This window comes from Homo sapiens, chromosome 2 (assembly GCF_000001405.40).
Source record: "Homo sapiens chromosome 2, GRCh38.p14 Primary Assembly".
NCBI lineage: Eukaryota > Metazoa > Chordata > Mammalia > Primates > Hominidae > Homo > Homo sapiens.
In genome coordinates, this window is record NC_000002.12 from 121,931,627 (window position 1) to 121,953,917 (window position 22,291).

The window sequence follows — 22,291 nt, forward strand, 5'->3', positions numbered from 1 at the left end:
ACAGTGCTGGCCAGACTTTTTTTCATCATTGCTCCCTACAGAGACTTAGGCTTCCTTTCCTAATCCCCTCACTCCATCATGAAATTTTAATACCATGGGTTTACTAGATATCTGTTTATGTACTGTATAGTTAGTACCTGTCTATCTATCTATTTTCCATCCATTTATTTATTTTTTTTTGAGATGGAGTGTCACTCTGTCACCAAGGCTGGAGTGCAGTGGCACTATCTTGGCTCACTGCAACCTCCACCTCCCGGGTTCAAGTGATTCTCCTGCCTCAGCCTCCAGAGTAGTTGGGATTATGGGCGCGTGCCTCCTTGCCTGGCTGATTTTTGTATTTTTAGTAGAGACGGGGTTTCATCATGTTGGCCAGGCTGGTCTTGAACTCCTGACCTCATGATCCACCTGCCTCAGCCTCCCAGAGTGCTGGGATTACAGGTGTGAGCCGCTGAGCCTGGCCCATTTATTTATCTGTTTATATATCCATCTATCTCTCTATATATTTTATACATAAAATGAATAAATTTTTTACCCCCTCTTCCAATCATCCCTGTTGAAATGCATGGATAGTCTGGATAAAGAGACAGACATGTAGATGGGAAAATGATAAAGATTCACAGAGAGTGAAAAAATAATAACAGCTCTCCCTATGTAGCGCTCACTCTGTGCTGGGTGCCCTTCCCAGTATTTTACAAGTATTAACAAATCCTCACAGCAGCCCTGCTTGTGAGCTACTTAGTAGATGGGAATAATGGCACAAAGAGTTAAGTAACTTGTCCATGGAGGCGCCTGCAGTTGATGTTTTAATCATAGAAGTCCAGGACTTTGGTTAACCCTCCCGTGTTTGGTGACCTTGTCCCAGCACTTCAGGCCAATGCATATCTCTTTTCTTTAACTTTCAGAGAAGCAGATTCTTCAGAGTCCACCTCCCTGCCTCCCCAGGGAGGACCACACTGAGTCCATGTGATGGGAACCAATGTCTTGTGCGTGCCATGGAGGGGCGGCAGCTGCTCCTCTACCCTAGCACTGAGGACAGAGTGGGGGCTCTCTGCAGTCAACGGAGTTAAATTCCGGCCTCTACATAACTGTCTTCTGTTATGCATTCTAGAAGAACCACCTCAAAAGTGGAGCTAGCAGAGGTCTGATTAAAGACGTCTTCCATAAGTAGAATGAGCAAGAGCTCTATAAGGTGTAGGATGGAGTCTCTCAGGCCCCCTCCGTACCTTCTTGTCAAATCTCCTGGGCCACATGTTTTGTCACAAGCTGCAGAGTCTGACTGGTAGCTGAAGCTACCTGGAGGGCAACATTTCACCTCCCTAGGTATAAGGAAGGACCTAGCTCCAAGTGGGTTCCCTGCCTTTGACTATGGTCCCTGAGATGGCTTGAAACCTCGCTCCTCCAGAAGGGACCCTTCTAGTATTCTCTTCCTTGGCATTGGAGAGCTGCTTGCTAAGGTTTAAGAGGTTTGATTTTAAAAGGCATATATTGAATTCCTCTCAAGTGCTAGGCCCTGCGCACAGCATCCCCAGGGTCCCTGTGGACCACACGAAAAGGCCTGTGTGGGGTTTTAACCAGCTGATCTAACTCTTGTAATTGTGAGCTTTAAAGTAGACTCTACTGAAAGATAAGGAAATCTATTTTATTTACAAAGACTTAATAATTTGTACTCCAATCACAAAGTCTGGGTGGGTGCATTCTCCCTGAGAACTGAACCAGTCTCCCCATGTTAAATAATGCAGGGAACAAACACACTTTCCTGTCCTTGTGCTAAACAGTTCTGGGAAGAATTGAGAACGTTTTTATACCTGATTTTATACCAAACAATCTTGGGACCAGAGAGAAATAGCTTAGCTGCTTCCTCCAGGAAATACCTGTTCCTGGAAGATAAGACTGTGAACCAAGATTAACAGCTTTCTCATCAATGCGGCTTTGAGACCCTCACCTCACCATGCCCATCAATCTCCAGCTGCTGTGTCAAAACTCTGCTCCATCCCAATCAGTTCTCCACCTTGTAATTCTTGCCATAAAATCAACCAGCCTTGGCCTTAAAATCTTATAAATACTCTTCCCTGATTTTCCCTTTGAGACACCACTGAGACCATCAAGGTGGTGTCTCCCTTGCTTTGTTGAGTTGGATCCACGTAGTTCTGCCTGATGGGTTTTCCTGGTGGGCATTAGGGGATTGACAGCTGACATCCCTGCTCTATTTGACTCTGTTAGTGAGCCCCTCTTGACCTCTCTGACCCAAGAGCTGTTCTCTGGGCAGTGTGAACAGCTTCATCTGCACATGTGCGTGGGAATGCAATTAGGGGTCAGGGAAATCCCCATCAGAGCATGGGAGCTCACCTGATCCTGGAACACTCTGCCAGACAGCCCATGGCTCACTCCTTCACCCCTTCCTCTTGACTCAAATGTGACCTTCTCAGGGAGGCCTATCCAGACCTCCCTTTTAAAAACAGAAAATCCAGGCTGGGCATGGTGGCTCATGCCTATAATCCAGTACTTTGGGAGGCTGAGGTGGGAGGATCACTTGAGCCTGGGAGTTCATTCTGGACAATATGGTGAGACCCAGACTGTATTAAAAAAAAATTAGCCTGGTATGGTGGCATGTGCCTGTGGTCCCAGCTATTTGGGAGGCTGAGGTGGTAGGATTGCTTGAGGCCAGGAAGTTGAGGCTGCACACTCTAGCCTGGGTGAAAGAATGAGACCCTGTCTCAAACAAACAAACAAAAAACAGCAACAACAAAAACCAGAAAGCAAAACGAAACAACAAACCCACAAAAACAAAAAATACTGAAAAATCGCCACCCACTCACATAACTTTAGTATGCCCTGTCTTCCTTAGATTGATCTACTTTATTTTCATTATATTTTAATTATTTATTTATATTTATTTACTTTTTTAGAGACAGGGTTTCACTTTGTCTCCTAGGCTGCAGTGCAGAGGTGTGATCATAGGTCACAGCAGCCTTGAACTCCTGGGCTCAAGGAATCCTCCCGCCTCAGCCTCCCAAGTAGCTGGGACTACAGGTATGTTCCACCATGCCAGGCTAATTTTTAAAAAAGTTTTAGAGAGATGATGTCTCACCATCTTGCCCAGGTTGGGTTCCAGCTCCTGGGGTTAAGTGATCCTCTTTCTGTGGCCTCCCAAAGTGCTGGGATTACAGGCATGAGCCACCACTCCCAGCGTATATGTATGTGTGTGTGTGTGTGTGTGTGTGTGTGTGTGTGTGTGTGTGTATATATATATATATATATTTTTTTTTTTTTTTTTTTTTTTTTTAGACAGAGTCTCCTGTGTCACCCAGGCTGGAATGCAATGGCATGATCTCAGCTCACTGCAACCTCTGCCTCCCGGGTTCAAACAATTCTCCTGCCTCAATCTCCCGAGTAGCTGGGATTACAGGCACCTGCCATCATGCCTGGCTAATTTTTGTATTTTTTTTTTTTTTTTTTTTTTGAGACAGAGTCTTGCTCTTTCGCCCAGGCTGGAGTGCAGTGGCGCGATCTCTGCTCACTGCAAGCTCCGCCTCCCGGGTTCATGCCATTCTCCTGCCTCAGCCTCCCAAGTAGCTGGGATTACAGGTGCCTGCCACCACGCCCGGCTAATTTTTTGTATTTTCAGTAGAGACGGGGTTTCACCGTGTTAGCCAGGCTGGTGTCAAACTCCTGACCTCAGGTGATTCACCTGCCTCAGCCTCTCAAAGTGCTGGGATTACAGGCATGAGCCACCGTGCCTGGCCACCCATTATATTTTTAATGGAAATGAAAATATTATTGGTGGTGGTGCTCCCTCTCAAAGACATAGCCACTCAGTTTCTCAGTTAGTAGTTTGAAATACCAGACAAACATTAAAATTAACCAGGCAGTTCCAAAAATACAGATGACTGGGCGTGACTTACAGAGATTCTAGTTTGGTGGACTTGGGTGGGATGGAGAACGATTATGTGTGTGTGTGTGTGTGTGTGTGTGTGTGTGTGTGTGTATAGCTATGTATGTGATGAAGCTGCGCAGCTGACTGACCTACCTACAAGTAACCAACAACAAAGACAAGTACAGTCTGCATGGAGCAGAGCCATCATAAAAATGCACACCCCTTGATCTAGTTATTTCACTTCTAGGAGTTTATTCAAAGGAGAAAATCCCACAGGTACATGAAATTCTGTTCAACTAGAGTGTTCATTAAGTTTTGCTTATAAAGGGAAATCTAAGACTGAAAAACAATATATTAATATTTGTCAGAGACCTACACATTTACATTTCCTTCGTTTCAGATAGAATCAAATTTACCAACAAACATGTACCTCTATCCCAATGACGGCTTGCTGATGACAAAAACTGGAAACACCTTAGTGCTCACAATTAGGTTGGTTCAGTAGAAAGGAACTGCCTCCATGAATGATACACCACTCCATCGTCTAAATGATGATAGAGATGAATATTTAACGGTGAGGGAACAATCTTCATGCTGTATTTTTTTTTTCTTGTTTTTTGAGATGGAGTCTCACTCTGTCATCCAGGCTGGAGTGCAGTGATGCCATCCCACCTCTCAGGTTCAAGTGATTCTCCTGCCTCAGCCTCCTGAGTAGCTGGGATTACAGGCACCTGCCACCACGTCCAGCTAATTTTTGTATTTTTAGTAGAGACGGGGTTTCATCCTGTTGGCTAGGCTGGTCTCGAACTCCTGATCTCTGGTGATCCGTCTGTCTCGGCCTCCCAAAGTGGTGAGATTACAGTTGTGAGCCACCGTGCCTGGCCCTTCATGCTGTATTAAGTGAATAAAAATATAACTCAACTCACCAAGTATTTATTATTTATTGTGTGTAGCCCAGGTTCTGTTCTAGGCTCTGGGAACACCTCGGTGAACACAGAAGTCAAAAGCCCTGACTGCATCATGAGGCTTACATTCCAGTGTGGGGAGAAAGCTGACCTTATGGTGTGTTCGAAGGTTAAACATATTATGGAAAAAAGTAGATAAGTCTAAGGAAGAGAGGCCATATTAAGGGTGTGTGTTTGGATGGGTGGGGGATTTTCAGTGTTAGAAAGGGAGGTCTGGATGGGCCTCACTGAGAAGGCTGTGTGTGAGTCAAGAGTAAGGGGTGATGGAGTGAGTTATGGGCTGTCAGCAGTGTTGCAGGCAGAAGGAACAGCAGTGCAGAGCCGCTGGGGTGCAGAGTCCCTGGCACAGACAAGGACTTTAAGAAGCCGTGGCAGGGCTGCAGTGGGGCGAAGGGAGGAGGAGCGAGGTCAAAGAGATAAGAGGTGTACGGCTCACAGGGGTTCCTATTGGCTATTGCAGGGGATTTGGCTCTTACTCTGAGGGAAAAGGGGAGCCACTGCAGGGTTTTAAGTAGAGGAGCGACATAGTTACTTATGTTCTAAAATGATCATTCTGAAAGCTGTGTTTAGAATATTCTGTAGCTGCACTGTCTACTTTGGTGGCCACTTGCCACTTGTGGCTACTGAGCACTTGGGTTGTGGCAAAGCCGGAGCTGAGATGTGCCATCAGTGTGAAATACACACTGGCTTTGTATTATAAACACTTAGTGTGAAAAAATGTAGAACATGTTACTGATTTTTATACTGATTGCATGTTGAAATGGTAATATTTTGGATATATTGGATTAAATAAAGAATATTGTTAAAATTAATTAATTTAAGTTTTTCCCCCTTTTTAATGTGGCTACTAGGATTTTCTTTAATGTTTTAATTTTTAATTTTTTATAGCTTTCCAGAAGCAATTTGAGGCTAGAAAATTTTAAATTACATATGTGGCAGCATTCTATTTCCACTGGACAGCTATAATCTGTAGAGGACACTTGGGGAGGTGACCTGCAATTGTACAGAGAGGAATGGTAGTGGTTTGGGCAAGGGTAATAGTGGTTAAGGGGAGATTTGAGGTAGGATTTATCTGGATGTATTTTGAATCAAGAAATGATGATGATTTTTTTTTTGGATGGATTGAATGGGTGAAAGATAAAGATGAAGCCAGGATGATTCCAAGGTTTTGGACTGAGCACCTGGAAGGATTGAGTTGGGAAAGATCGGGACGTTAAATGTGAGAAGTGCACCACAGAGCCAAGTGGAGGTGTTTTGTAGAGAGTTACAGAGGCAAGTCTGGAGTTCAGGGGAGAGGTCAAGGCTGGGGACATAACCTGGGGAGAGAGCATGGAGACCTATTTAAAGCCATGGGTCTGGATGAGGAGCCTGAGAGAAGAGAAGAGAACCGAGGACTGAGACCTGGGTTCGCCCCTCCAATTTCGGGAGGCTGGGAGAAGAGCAGAAACCACAGAGGAAGTGGAGAGAGGTCCAGTGAGGTAGGAGGAAACCGGAGAGGCTGATGTCCTGGAAGTGGGGTGAAGAAAGTGCCTCCAAGAGGCAGGAGAGGGAAATTGAGGCAAATGCCTTCAAGAAGGTAGTTAGGAAGAAGGCTGAGATTCGGCCCTCAGACTGAGCAGCATGGAGGCCACGGGTGATCTTGACAAGAGCCCTTTGGGGGAAGGTAGTGGTAAAAAACCTGACTGGAGGAGTGGCTTGAGGAAGAGCAACCTCTCAGAAATTTGAGAGAGTGAGTACTGCATTTTTTTCCCAAAGAGTATGAGTATAAAGGGAGAAAGAGGAATGTGAAGATAGAATTAGGATTAGGTCATACACCAAAATGTCAGCAATTGGCCAGGCACGGTGGCTCACACCTGTAATCCCAGCACTTTGGGAGGCTGAGGCTGGCGGATCACCTGAGGTCAGGAGTTCAAGACCAGCCTGGCCAACATGGTGAAACCCCATCTCTACTAAACATACAAAAATTAGCCAGGTGTGGTGGCACATGCCTGTAATCCCAGCTAACCCCAGCTACTCAGGAGGCTGAGACAGGAGAATCGCTTGAACCTAGGAGGCCGGGGTGGCAGTGAGCCGAGATCACGCCACTGCACTCCAGCCTGAGCAGCAGAGTGAGACTGCATCGCAAACAAAACAAAACCAAACCAAAGAAACAAAAATGAAAACAGAAAGTCAGCAATTGGACCCCTGGGATTATAAATGTTATTTTTTGAAAAAAATTATTGTTTTTTTTTGCTGTAATGTTTTAAAATTACTTTAATATTTCAAAGAACGAGTTTGAACAAAATTTAAACAAAAAGTTATAAAGCCAACAGTGGAGTTAGTACAACTTCTTGTTAGCCAAACCCTCCAACTAGCTTAGCTCTTGAACAGAGAATAAACTGGGTTGGAAGGTTCCTCAGGGATGCTTTCAAATTTTCCTTAAAATGTGTGGTCATGTCTCTTTACCTAAGATGAGATGCAATATTTATTTCTCCTTAAATTACTAGGATCCATTTCCTACTGGCCTGTCTCTAGAAGAGACCTGAACTAATTGATCCACCACCCGTCGATGAAGGGCTTTTAAAAGGATCTTCTTACTCTTGAGTCTCTTAGAATGAAAGTCAAGAAGTTGACTAAATCAGGATTACTTCCTCACGACTGGTATTTTGGAAAGTATTTGGTGCAGCAAGTGTTTTTACTTGAGGAGTGCTTATTATTAACAGTAAAATAGTGGTAAGCGACTATTCACTGAAGTGTTCACCAGGTGCCAGATTCCATGTGAAGGGCTTTACATACCTTTGTTCATATAATCAGCACAACAACCCTATGAGTTAGATGTTATTACTTGCATTTTAATGGCTAAGGCAGCTAAAGCTCAGAAGTCACACAAGTAGTGTGTGGCAAATCACGGACTCCAGCCAGGCTTGTCTGATCAAAACTTGATTCCTGTCCACTCTCAGGAGTGTGCCATACCAGGCGAAAGCTCCCTCCTGCTCCAGGCCCTGCAGATTGCTTTCTAAGGCAGGGAGAGAGGCAGTGCAGGGGCAAGGCCCTATGGCGCCTCTTGGAAGGTTTCCACCAAGGCTTCAGAATGAACAAAGATGAATTTTATTACTGAAAGAGGAGCTTTTCCTACATTCTGAGCTTAAAAACTAGTCAAGAAACCTAAGCAGTAACGTCTGTAACCCTGGCCTATGATAGGTTTTTGGCAGAACCAGACTCTAGTGTTCCTGTGGGTGGGTCAGAGCCCATTTATCTCTATAGCAGAGGTAGTTACATTACAGTGATGAGAGAAGTGGTCTGAAACTCATCCTGATCATTTATCCACAAATTGCTGCAGTGGTCATTTTATTCCCCAAATAAAGGACCCTTGTACAATTGAATTCCATTATATGTCCTTTGTTATTACATGAACTTGACTATTTGGCCAACCAGTAGCATCTCCATAGAGTATAAACATTTTTTACAGTGAACTCAATAAATACAACAGACACTTCCTCTAGCCTTGATTTTTCATTATGAAGGGGCATAATAATAGCAACCCTCATAGGGTTGGAGCTATTGTCACTGCTTAGCACATTGACTAGCCCATATTAAAGGCTCAGTAAATGTTAGCTGACATTAATAATAAATTCATATTAGAAGACTACATAATTAGCATATCAAACACCATCCTGAACATCATACACTGCTTCTTTAGCTGAAATGACATTCTTCATAGGCAAATTGTGCTTCTAGGATGTTTAATAGTTTTATTCTCTTAAGTAGGTAAATATTCTTTCTATAATTTCATTTACTCTGTAAGATGAGCCAGTAAGTTGTTTTGTCCCTAGATAGAGGCATTGATTTTGCATGCCTGAGTTCATGTGAACTCAAAATTAATGAAGAAAATCTGAATTGACAAAAAACTACTGTATGTTGCAGATTGCAAATTTACTTAGCCAGATGTGTATAGTTTTTTTTATGTTGTCAACAAATAATCTAGTTTTTCTCTAACTTATAAGTTCTTCAAAGTTTAAAACAGTTTGACTTGATTAAATTGTTAGGTAATACATTCAAATATTTTAGGAAAAAAAGCGCGGTCTTTTTTATTTTTTTATTTTTTTATTTTGAGAAGGAGTCGTTTGCTCTGTCACCCAGGCTGGAGTGCAGTGGTGCGATCTTGGCTCACTACAACCTCCGACTCCTGGGTTCAAGCAATTCTTCTGTCTCAGCCTCCCAAGTAGCTGGGACTACAGGTGCATGCCACCATGCCCAGCTAATTTTTGTTTCTTTAGTAGAGATGGGGTTTCACCATACTGGTCAGGCTGGTCTGGAACTCCTGACCTTAGGTCATCCACCCATCTTGGCCTTCCAAAGTGCTGGGGTTACAGGTGTGAGCCACTGTGCCCGGCCCAAGCGCAGTCTTTTTATCTCCACTCTCTTCCCCTCCCCTCTCTTCTCCAAGGTGGCATCTGTATCCCGGGGTGAAGGAAGGAGAGGGACTCTTGGATGGGCATTTGAGGTGGCAGCTTCCAAGAGTCCCTCATGGTGAGTAGGAGTGGCCCTCCGGCCTTGGGGGTCCGTGCCCTTCATCTGACACAATCCCTTACATTGCGGCCCTTATCAGCACGTCTCTGCTTCCTCTTTCCGTAATTCCCTGGCTGGGAGGGGTGGGCTTTCCCTTCCTTTTTCAGTTGCATCTCTCCCTTGTAGAAAAGGACTTAGACTCTGGTCTCCCAGCCCTGGTCCTTGATGCATCACATAGATTCTAAAGACACTTAGCAAATCCTTTCTGGTTTTTGCAATGTCTGACCTTCTAGCCTACTGTCTTCTTAAAGAGGTCATGGTCTAGCTGTCTTCTGCCCTGGAGCAATACGCCACATTCCAGGAAATAGGAGGTTGCATGTGGAAAAAGAGGAGGTGGGGTTAAAATGCCTTGATTTAATATTGGCAAAATATTATCCCTGTAGCTGTGTTTTGGAAATGAGTGCAAACCTGGCCGTCTAAATGGCCACGTTAACTTGGGTAACTGCCATATGTAAATAACATGCAGAAGTGGAAAGATGGACCAGATGGTTAATAACAGATGTGGTGATTGAGTGCTGGAGGAATTAATGGTGAATAATGACTAGAATGCTAACTGATAGTATTTCTAACACCAGGAGTGACAGACAGTGAACAAACTTGGTAATAATTAGAAAAGAAAGAACAACAAGAGGGTATGTCAAAGTTTGTGTTAACTGAAGTTCCCATATGGATCCAAGATTGCGGCAGTGATGATTTCTGCAACACGAGGACCATCTGTTTCCTCATAGCAGCATCATTTAACAGTGAAAGGACAGGGCCTCAGCCTTAAATTCGGGGAAAACAAGTAGCTAGAACCAATGAGAAGGGAAATGTTGATGTTAATATATGAGTTTATTTTCTGTTATTCAGATAGACTCGTACTCCAACTTCTCTACTCTCTTTATTCATACAACTCTGGTACCTTCTTCCCTCTTTTCCTTTCCCTCCCTGTTTCTTTTCCTTCCTTCTTTTTTCCCTTTCTGCCTCTTTCCCTTCTTCTTCTTTTATTTTTTTTTTTTTGAGCTGGAGTCTCACTCTGTCACCCAGGCTGGAGTGCAGTGGCATGATCTCAGCTCACTGCTACCTCTGCCTCCTGGGTTCAAGTGATTCTTGTGCCTCAGCCTCCCGAGTAGCTGGGACTAGAGGCATGTGCCACCAGGCGTAGCTAATTTTTGTATTTTTAGTAGAGACAGGGTTTCGCCACGTGGGCCAGACTGGTTTCGAACCCCTGACCTCAGGTGATCTGCCCACCTCAGCCTCCCAAAGTGTTGGGATTACAGGTGTGAGCCGCCACACCTTGCCTCTCTCTTCCTCCTCCTCCTTCTTCTTCTTCTTCTTCTTCGTCTTTAAAAAAATCTGTCTTCTTCTGTCATTCAGTTACAAACCCACTGACTGCTCCAGCCCCACCAATCACTTTTCCTTTGGAATTCTTATTCCAGGCAGCCAGCACAATACAAGTTAGCATTTGACTTAATAGTGCTATATTCTGTCTTGTTAACAAAATTATTTCTTGTATATTAGAGCCATCTTCTCAATGGGATTATATATGCTCCCATGGAAGAGAATCTAGACATTTGCTGCTCTGTACTTACTGTCCTTCATTAGTGAATGTTAGCTTTATGACAGACTAATAATTATGAGAAAAACAGTAATAGTTATTTTATCAATAGTGTGGTCTGAATAGTCGAGTGTAGAGATTTGCTTTTGGTTTTGTTTAATGCCTGTTTGAAGAGCTTCCTGATGAAATGGGATGTGCTTGGCATTGTGCTTGGAGTTGTCATTGTCATTCTCATCATCCTCATCCTCATCCTCATCACCATGTCACAATAAACACTGCTTCCAGTTAATATTCACCCCTTCTTATGTGCCAATTATGTTATTTAATTCTCAAAATAGTCTTAATGACATACTCTGAAGGTAAAACCAAACTGTGTTTTTTCCTACCCTCACACAACAGCACTCAGCTCTGGTCACCAAAATGTGTGTGGGAATTTCTCCCTACCAATAACCAATTCTCTAATTTAATTCCGACGCCATCTACCTGGAGACAGCGTCATGTCCCACAGGTTATAGGCTCATTCCCACAAGACTGACCCCACTTCAGATGCCAACCACAAGTCCCGAGTTGTAATCTGTGCTTCTGACTCAATGACTGTAAATGGAGGGTTCCCAGCACCCCCACCTTGGGTTTGATTAATTTGCTAGAGTGGCTCACAGAACTCAGGGAAACACTTACTTACATTTACTCATTTATCATAAAATATACTACAAAGGATACAGATGAACAGCTGGATTCTAAAGACACTTTAGCAAATCCTTAGATTTGCAAGGTAAATCTAAGGATTTGTAGGGTGAGGTAAGAGGGAAGGGGCGCAGAGCTTCCATTCCCTCTCCAGGCACAGCACCCTCCAGGAACCTCTGTGAGTTCAGCAACTGGAAAGCCCTCTGACCCTGTCCTTTCCCATTTTTATGGAGGCTTCATTATGCTGGCATGACTGATGACATCATTGGCCATTGGTGATCAATCTCTAGCCCCTGTCTCCTCCTCAGAGGTTGGAGAGTGGGGTGAATGCCCCAATCCTCCACTCATGGTTTGGTCTTTTTGGTGATCAGTCCCCATCCTGAAGCTTTCTAGGGGCCCCCAGATGTCATTCATCTTATTAGCATACAAAAGGCACTCTTATTACTACAGAAATTTCAAGGGTTTTAGGAGCTGTGTGCCAGGATTGAGGGGCAGGATCAAATTTTTTATTATTATATCACAATATCACACATAGATATCACTTCTCCCATTTTGTAAATGAGAAAACAGGTGTCTAGAGAACTTACTAACTCCATTTATTGTAATTGACTTATTCAACAGTAATAGAGCACCAATTATGTCTCAAAAATATTTTGAAGTTCTACAAATATCTTATTTCATTCTCAAGACAATCTTAAATGAGGTGAGGTTTCATTGTCCTCATTGCACAGATTAGAAAACTAAGAATCCTGGAGAATTTAGTAACTTAACTACTGTTTCATGCAAGTCTGCACACTAAAAGAATGGCGGAATTCAGTGAGTGAACTCGGTTCTGATTGACTTTGTATCCTGATGCTGCCCTAAGATGCTGGCAAGAGTAACCGTACCCCATGCTCCATGCTTACCGCATACGAGAGGGCCTTGTAAATTCCTTGCAAATCAGAAACACACAACACAGATTTGGGAACACATGGACTCCTCTGCCTCCTGGAACTTAGCAGGGGCACAGAGTGACTTGTCTCCTTAAACATCCACTGTGTGACTAATACTGTTCCAGCCCCAGGGAAACATTTCTTCACATCTCTTCCTATTTCCTCAGAATAAAAGACAACTGTGTTGGAAGATTGCCAAGGTTTGTAGCTGTGCCACCGCAGACTTCAGAGATGAACACTGCCTTGGAGACGAGGAGGATTCAAGTTGCAGAAGCATTTAGGTAAAAGAAAAGATAAGCTAATTAAGTTGTCAAAATTTTCCTTGAAGAAAGACTAATTAAATTGCCAGATTCTCTCTCTCAGAACACGTGAAGACTGTAGAGTCTTGCAAAACAGAGTATCATTATCCACTAGTGCTAACATTCATTTTCCTACTTCATTTCACGTTCCAGTTGGAAGTACTCACCAGTTAGGTCCATAGTCACAAACATTGCACTGATGGCTGGGGAACATTTTGCAAAATTGTATGTCTGTAAGTCTAGACACAACACCATGAAGCATGGTACCCACTCATCATGTTGACATTTAGGAGGACAGTGAATGCCAGAATCATGAATAGTTTTATGTTTAGATAACCAATTTAAAAGATTTAAACTTTCAAAAACTTAAAAAGAGCTTTTACAAAATACATTTGATTTTAAAAGTTGATCATAATTATAACTTTACTTTGCCTTTAACTTTGTTGCATAATTTAGACTATTTTTGAAAAAAAACTTTTTGTAAAATTTAAGAAAAATAATTTTAATTTTTCATTGACACCTTTGAAGGAACTTTTAAATTTTGTATTCAAATTTTTTTTTTTTTTGGTTGAGATGGGGTTTCACTCTTGTTGCCCAGGCTGGAGTGCAATGGCGTGATATTGGCTCACCGCAACCTCTGCCTCCTGGGTTCAAGTGATTCTCCTGCCTCAGCCTCCCGAGTAGCTGGGATTACAGGCACGCACCACCACGCCCAGCTAATTTTTGTATTTTTAGTAGAGATGGGGTTTCACCATGTTGGCCAGGGTGATCTCAATCTCCTGACCTCGTGATCTGCCTGCCTCAGCCTCCCAAAGTGCTGGGATTACAGGCGTGAGCCACCGCGCCTGGCCCCATTTTGTTTTTTAATCTCTAATATCATTACTGACAATAGAACACAAATTATGGTTAAACTTTTAACATAATTTATGATTTTAATAAAATGAAGTAAGGGATAAAAACTTTCATGGAATAAACATGTAATAATATATTAATTAACTATTTTTTTATCATCACCCATCCAAACATTACCTACTCATCAGTAGAATACCCAGGAAGGCACAATCACTGCACTCAGCTGTCTTTGGCATCTTGCTAGTTTTAGTAACATAAAAGCCATAAGGTTACACATTTTGAAAGTTTGTTGCAGAGAAAGGTGTATTTGTCAAGAGAGGAGGATAGAATGTACTTGATCAGGCAGTTTGTGAGCTTGATTTATATCTTTTAGATATTTGGACACATGGCATGATGGACCAAATTGTGTGCCCCCCCACTCCGATTCATATGTTGAAGGCTGAATATGGCATGAGGGCTCCCAGCTGTACTTTTGCCTTGAGCCCTGCAAATGAACCTGTTAAGGGCAGCCTTGCTAGAAGCCAAGCTTTTTTACTTTGTTTTAAATTGACACATAATAATTTGTACATATTTATAGGATACAGTGTAATGTTTTGATGCATGTCTATGTTGTACAAGGATCAAATCAGGGTATCTAGTGTATCCATCACCTCAAAAGACTTGTCATTTCTTTGTGGTGAGAACATTAAAAATGTTCTCTTCTAGCTATTTTGATATGCGCGATATATTATTGTTAACTACAGTCACCTTACTGTGGTAGAACACCAGAGCTCTTTTCTCCTATTTAACTTTGTACTGGTTGGGCAACTTCTCCCTTCACTCCATCTTCCCTTCCCCAGCCTCTCGCAACCACTCTTCTACTTTCTGTTTCTATGAGATCCACTTTTACAGATTCCACATATGAGTGAGATCATGGCGTAATTGTCCTTCTGTGCCTGGCTTGTTTAACATCATGTCCTCTAGATTCGATCCATATTGTCTCAAATGACAAGATTTCATTCTTTTTTATGGATGGATAATATTCCATTGTATATATGTACCACATTCTTCTGTAGATGGGCACTTAGGTTGCTTCTAAATCTTGTCTACTGTGAACAGTGCTACAATAAACATGGGAGTGCTGATATCTCTATCATATGGTAGTTCTAGTTCCAATTTTTTTTTTTTTTTTTTTTTTTTGAGATGAAGTCTCGCTGTTATCGCCCAGGCTGGAGTGCAATGGTGTGACCTAGGCTGGCTCACTGCAGCCTCCGCCTCCCAGGTTCGAGCAATTCTTGTGCCTCAGCCTCCTGAGTAGCTGGCACCTGCCACCACACCCTTCTAATTTTTGCATTTTTAGTAGAGATGGCATTTCACCATGTTTGCCAGGCTGGTCTCGAACTCCTGACCTCAGGTGATCTGCCCACCTCGGCCTTCCAAAGTGCTGGGATTACAGGTGTGAGCCACCGCGCCTAGCCCTATTTTTAATATTTGAGGCACCTCCATAGTGTTCTCCATAATGGCTGTACTAATTTACATTCCCATCAACAATGTGTAAGAATTCCCTTTTCTCTTCTAACAGGGGTGAGGTGATATCTCATTATGGCTTTGATTTGCACTTCTCCACCATAGAAGAATTTTGGAAACACAGATATAACTTCCAAATCACACGTGTTACTAGTTAGAAATCCAGGGTTCAAACAGGAGTCTGACTCCTGAGTTTCTGCCTCAAAATGTGTTGCCAAACCTTTGGTAGGTTGTCAGCCTGGTTAAAGTGCATGCCAGGGAAGTTCCCAACCTCTGCATCCTCTGTGTTAGGAAAGACGAGGGTTAGAAAGGGGGATGGGGCAGGACTGAGGGCTTTGCCTGCTCTACCAGTCAGAGGTATTTGGAAAAGAGATGGGAAGCACAAACGGATTTGCTGAGATTCCTTCAGTGGCCTGACTGTTTACAGCAGGACTGTCCAGTAGAGATAGAATGTGAACTGCATATATAATTTTAAATTTTCTGGCCAGGTGCGGTGGCCTTGCCTGTAGTCCTAGCACTTTGGCAGGCCAACGTAGGCTGATTGCTTGAGCCCAGGAGATTGTGACCAGCCTGGGCAAGATGGTGAGACCCCGTCTCTATAAAAAATACAAAAATCAGCTGGGCATGGTGGCACACGCCTATAGTAACAGGTACTCAGGAGGCTGAGGTGAGAGGATCCCTTGAGCCTGGGAGGTGGAGTTTGCAGTGAGCTGAGATTGCATCACTGCACTCCAGCCTGGGTGACAATCTGTTTCAATTTTTTTTTCTTTAGTAGCTACATTAAGAAAATAAAAAGAAACAGGTAAAGTTAATTCTAATAATATATTTTATTTAACCCATCAAGTAATGACTAGAAAATTATTAATGAGGTATTTCATTTTTCATACTTCACGTTAGAAATCTGGGGTGTATTTTACACTTAGAGTACATCTCGATGCCAACCAGCTACCTGTGAGCACTCAAGGGACACATGTGGCGAGCAGCGATCATGTCAGACAGTGCACGTCTAGATGTGCATTTGGACATCTGTGTCTGAGCGGCCTTGGGGGTTTATGACCCTCTGGGGACCAGGATTCCGTCACTAGTTCTCTCTGGCTCCACACCTAGCTGCATGGTTGATTAGTTCTCTTTTTCTGCTGGCATGAAGTCAAGTTCACAAGATGTGTGTGGCCACCCTGAATTTATTTCTCAGAGGATTTACAGATCCTACAAGGTGACACACTTGGTGTGCAGTGCTCCAGCCCCAGCCAAGGAGGCAGTAAAAGTGTATCAAGAAATCCTTGGCCCACAGATTTTTGCCAACAAACATTTCTCTACTTCTCAATGATGACTATGGAATGGTAAAAGTTTGAAGATACCTTAATTTTCACAGTCAGCTGGGTTATCTCAGAGAGATACTTTCCCTAGTGAGTGTTCTTAACACTTTCTTGAGTGGAAGGAAACAATGCTTTTGAAGTGACATTCCACGATGAATTCCTTCTGCTTCTAGAGAGAGTGAACGTTTTCAGTCAAAGAAGGTGCCAGCAATTTGGATTTTGGACTTGACTGCTTGGGAGAAGGGTTCAGAATTTCAACCAGCAACATGCCAAATCCACCTGTGTCTCTCAGTGTTCGCTCACAGCCACTTTCTTTTACACATTTAAATCCTCTCTCCCCACTCTTAAGCATTTCCTGTGGAATAACACTCCCTGAATCCTAGCTTAAAAATAAACATGGTGGTCAACAGCTGGCCTTTGCAATCTGGCAGAATGGAGGTTTTGTTCTGACTGTCACTTAATAGCTGGGTGATCATGGCAAGACATTTCCTCATGGCAAAGAATAGGTGAAAAGGTATTTTCTCATATGTAAGATAAGCATAATTCCTGTATCCTAGGTTTTTGTGAGGATCAAACGAAATAGTGCCCACAATGCACACAATGCACAGTGACTGCGTACATATAGGTAAGCAAATGTCGACTGCTACCGAAGTCTCTTGAGCCCTGGCATCTGCCTGGTTGACCAACCATAGACTGATGCCTAGATCTGATGCTTTGTATAGGGAGTGGCTTGATTCCTAAGTAAAGGCCTTGACATGCAGAAGTTGATTCTCTTCTCTGTGGAGATCAGAGGTTCTCATACAGTGAGCTGGTACTGGGCTCACCACCCCTTGCTGAAGTTTTTTGTTGTTACTGTTTTTTTTTTTTTTTATGTTTTTTGAGATGGAGCCTCAATCTGTCATCCAGGCTGGAGTGCAGTGGCGCGATCTTGGCTCACTGCAACCTCAGCCTCCTGGGTTCAAGCAATTCTCCTGCCTCAGCCTCCTGAGTAGCTGGGATTACAGGCAGGGGCCAGCATGCCCAGCTAACTTTTATATTTTTAGTAGAGACGGGGTTTCACCATGTTGGCCAGGCTGGTCTGGAACTCCTGACCTCAGGTGATCCGCCCGCCTGGGCCTCCCAGTGCTGGGATTACAGACGTGAGTCACCGAGCCCGACCCTTGGTAAGTATTTATTTTTTCACTCTTGATTCTTCCTTCTTCTAATTCTCTTCTCTTCACCGCTTTCACTTCACTTTTTCTTTCTGGTTCTTTTCTAGCTTGTGACCTGGGGATGCTGGTGCCCTGTATATGCGTGGCTTATTTCAGGCAAGGTCTGAGAAGCAGTTCTTTAATGCAGGCTCCTTGGCACACCTGTTTCCTTTCTTGTGGGTGACAGCTGTGCAGTAATCCTGAGGCGAGAGCTGGGAACCTCCAGTCATTGCACTCGGCTCAGTGTGGGTTTTCCATAAATGGCCTCTGATGATGTGCTGGAGGGAGATAATTAACGCCTGGGATGCTCTATTTATACATTTGGTGCAGAGCTCACCCACCCACCTCCATCCTGGGAACCAGCCTGGCCTCCAGCCTATCGGAGAGGCTGTGTAGCTGCCACTTCACAGGGATACCTGTAGCCCATGTATGGCAGGGTGAGGGAGTGGCTGCTATGTGGGAGACACAGTGGGAAGGGCCACCAGACAGTCACCTCAGGGAGACCACAGGTAACTGGGTGGCTGGGCAGATGGCATGGGCAGCAGGACTGGGGAGCTGAGGCCCAACGGGGAAGAAAGGATCAGAGCCAGGCGTGGGAGTGGGACACAAAGGCCAACAGTCAGACTGCAGCCAGTGGCCAGAAGTCAGGGGGCAGCCGGGAGTCAGGGAGCCCTCAAGACCTAGAGGCAAGGGGAGCCAGTGGTCACAGGTCAGGAGTGTAACTGGACATCAACAGCTCATCAGCCCCTTCCTCAGTTGGGTGGCCCCTGCGCACCTCCTGCTGTGGGAGCTGCCGATGGTAGCATGTGGCAGATAGGGCAGGAAGGTGGGTGGGGGTACTGGGTTGAGAGGTGTGGGATCTGGGGTAAGGGCAGAGTTTGACATTTTGGCAGAAGTAGTGGTACTAGGTGTTGTTAGGAACTGAATGTTTGTGTCACCCCCAATTTATATCTTGAAGCCCTAACCCCAAATGTGACTCTATTAACGTTAAGTGAGTCACGAGAGTGGGGTTCTGACCCATCAGGATTGGTGTTCTTTTTTTTTTTTTTTTTTTTTTTTTGAGACGGAATCTCGCTCTGTCGCCCAGGCTAGAGTGCAGTGGTGCAATCTCGGCTCACTGCAAGCTCCGCCTCCTGGGTTCACGCCATTCTCCTGCCTCAGCTTCCCAAGTAGCTGGGACTACAGGCGCCCGCCACTATGCCCAGCTAACTTTTTGTATTTTTAGTAGAGACGGGGTTTCACCGTGGTCTTGATCTCCTGACCTCGTGATCCGCCCACCTCGGCCTCCCAAAGTGCTGGGATTACAGGCATGAGCCACTGCCTGGTCAGGATTGGTGTTCTTAAGAGAAGAGGCAGAGAGAGAGAACTTCCTTGCTCTCCTCGCCGTGTGAGGGCACGGTGACGAGGTGGCTGTCTGCAGCATGGAAGAGGGCCCTGTAGAACTTGACCACGCTGGAACACTGATCTCAGGCTCCAGCCTCCAGAACTGTGAGGAAATAAATTCCTGCTGTTTAAGCCACCCAGACTATGGTATTTTGTTATGGCAGCCTGAGCTGACAAAGACAGTTGTTAAGGTTTGATTTGTGGGGAGTGTGGGGAAGCGAACATGTACTTTGAGAGGCGGGTAGTTTTGGGTCTGAATCTAGCTTTGTGATTACCAACCTATGTGGCCCTTGGCAGCCTACTGACATTCTTTTGAGTGTCTGTTTCCACTGACTGAAAGGGGCCATGAGATGCACCTCTTTGGGGTGTCAGGAGGATTTAAGACAATGAGAAAGTACGGAATGGCAAGATAATTTCAGATATGTGATAACTGCTTTAAAAAGTTGTTTTTCTCTCTCTTAGTTATTGAAGAAGCTTTTGCTGAACAGGTGATGTGGTCCTATGTGGCAACCTATAATGTTGCCCACTACAGATGACCTGGCTGGAAACAGAGCCTGGAATGGGCTTGAGGTGGCATGTGCACACTGGGCGCATATGCGTGTACTCATACTTTCTGGCTTTGTTCTCTGCCTCGCTTTACGGCGCCAGGGATCTGCCCTAAGCTGAAGTGGGCTGCAGTGTAGATGAGGAAGGGAGTCAGAGATCATCACCTGGCCCCATGGTTGTGAAGCGAAGGAGAGAGACAGCGCCTTAGTGATTTCTTGATTTCTATGTAGTCACAGAATAGGAATTTGTGACTTTGGGGTCATAAATAGCCGCCACTTGCTAGCCCCAACCTCTGTACCTAATCCTTGAGACGCGAGCTGTTCAGCTTACCTTGTGTATTTCCTGAGCCCCTGAGATGTGGATGGTCTCAGCTGGGATATGCTGTAAGTGTAAACTATATGCTGGATTTTAAAGATTTTGAAAAAAAGAAGGTAAAGTATCTCGTAAATAATTTAGAACATTGACTGCATGTTGAAATGATCATATCTGAGATCATATTTGAAATGATCACATTGAGTTAAATAAAATTATTTCTCCCAGTTTCTTTTTACTTTTTAAAAGTGGTGCCTAGGAAGTTGAAAATCACATATATAATTCATATTATGTTTCTATTGGTCAGCACTGCTTTACAGCAAAATTCAGGTGATAAAGAGAAAGAATTATTAATACTGAGACCTGGACCCGACCTTAATTCCTAACCAATGTCAGGCTTTAGAAGATGTAGCTTGTGAGCATATCTGCTAAGCTGCAGCTTTTTCAAATGTTGGCCAACCCATTCCCAAAGTATTAAAAATGCTGGCCTGTTTTTGGCCACTCTTCGGAAGGGTGCTTGGAAGTCTAGGAGGAGGCAGACTGGTGTTGCCCCACCTCACACCGTGCAGGTAGTGGTCACATGGCAGCAGTGTGGCTGCTTGACACGCAAAGCATGAATGAGACAGTGGTGGGTACTGCAAGCACGTGATGAACCAGCTGTGAAGCATCACCACACACAGGAGCAGGAGCAGAAGGTGACCGGGGAATTTGGACAGGAGAATTCCAGAGAAGGCTGGAGCCCGTGGCTGGGCAGCAACATGCCAGATTAAAGAATCCTGCTCAGTCTCTTGGAGAAGATGTGCTGGGAGAGCCAGACTGTGCCAAAGCTGATGGAGAATCTCAGAGGCACCAACACCCTTGAGGAACTTTGATCCATTTCGGGAACTAAGACTTGGATTTGAATCCCGCTCACCCTGTGCTTGCTGTGGGAATGTAGCCCTAAGCTTTAGTTTCTTATCTGTAAAATGGCCATGAACACATACTGGGCTGCTCTGAAGACTGGCTGATGTGGGCCTGGAAAGCTGAGTGCGTGGACAGGGCCTGTCACGGCCATCTGTCGCACCTGCCTGCCAGCATCCTTTTTCCTTCTCATACACCACCCTCATGTCCTTTTGGAATGCTCATTCGTCTTCCACCTGCTCCTGTAGGGGACACACGACCCTGGCCAGGCCAGCCAGAGTCACAGAACCTGGTTTAGGGCTGGACATGTGACCCTATCCAGGCTGAGTGCAACTCAATTCTGAGACTTTCGCTGGAAAGACTGGAACAGAGGGGATGGGGCCTGGAGTTGCTGGTGGCCACCTCGGACCCACACAGGCAGAGCTTGCTTGAGAACAAAGCCAACATGCAGGAGGAAGAGGAGGAGAGTTGGATGCATATCAATCCATCCATAGACAAGGAGCCTGGAGGCATCCTTAGGCCCAGGATGCAGCTCTGCTGCAACAGGAAGCATCTTTGCATTTCCAGGTTACGCCAGGCAACAGACTCCCTCTTTGACTAGTTCAGCCTCTTGGGAAAGCATCTTGACCCATTCAGTGCTCAGTACATGCTACAGAAAGACTGTTTTTATGTGCTTATAAGTGAGAACATGCTTTATTCAGTTTACTATTCCTGTGTTAGTTTGCTAAGGATAATGGTTCCAGTTCCATCCATGTCCCTGTGAAGGACATGATGTCATGCTTTTTTAATGGCTGCATAGTATTCCATGCTGTATATGTACCACTTTTTCTTTATCCAGTGTATCACTGATGGGCATTTAGGTTGATACCATGTCTTTGCTATTGTGAATAGTGTTGCAATGAACATACATGTGCATGTGTCTTTATAACAGAATAATTTATATTCCTTTTGGTATATACCCAGTAATAGGATTGCTGGATCTCTAGGTCTTTGAGGAATCACCACATTATCTTCCACAATGGTTGAACTAATTTAGTGTATAAGTGTTCCCTTTTCTCTGCAACCTCATCAGCATCTGTTATTTTTTGACTTTTTAATAGCCATTCTGACTGGTGTGAGATGATATCTCCTTATGGTTTTGATTTGTATTTCTCTAGTGATAAGTGATATTGAGCTTTCTTCATATGCTTGTTGGTTGCATGTATGTTTTCTTTTGAGAAGTGTCTGTGTCTGTTCATGTCCTTTGCCCACCTTTTAATGGGGTTGTTTTCTTCTTGCAATCTTGTTTAAATTCTTTATAGATGCTGGATATTAGACCGTTGTCAGGTGCCTAGTTTGCAAAAATTTTCTTCTGTTCTGTAGGTTGTCTGTTTACTCTGTTGATAGTTTCTTTTGCTGTGTAGAAGTTCTTTAGTTTAATTAGATCCCATTTCTCAATTTTTGCTTT

The 22,291-nt window shown here is 44.1% G+C and overlaps 1 long non-coding RNA gene across 8 annotated transcripts in view; it reads left to right on the plus strand.

Moving 5' to 3' along the window:
* The window catches only part of LOC105373592 (uncharacterized), a 530,486-nt gene that overhangs the window by 29,174 nt on the left and 479,021 nt on the right, over positions 1-22,291 (plus strand). For all 8 annotated transcript variants that reach the window (XR_001739684.2, XR_007087222.1, XR_923281.3 and 5 more), the window contains exon 2: positions 12,708-12,821. This is a non-coding gene — a long non-coding RNA (uncharacterized LOC105373592). The remainder of the gene's footprint in view (positions 1-12,707; positions 12,822-22,291) is intronic.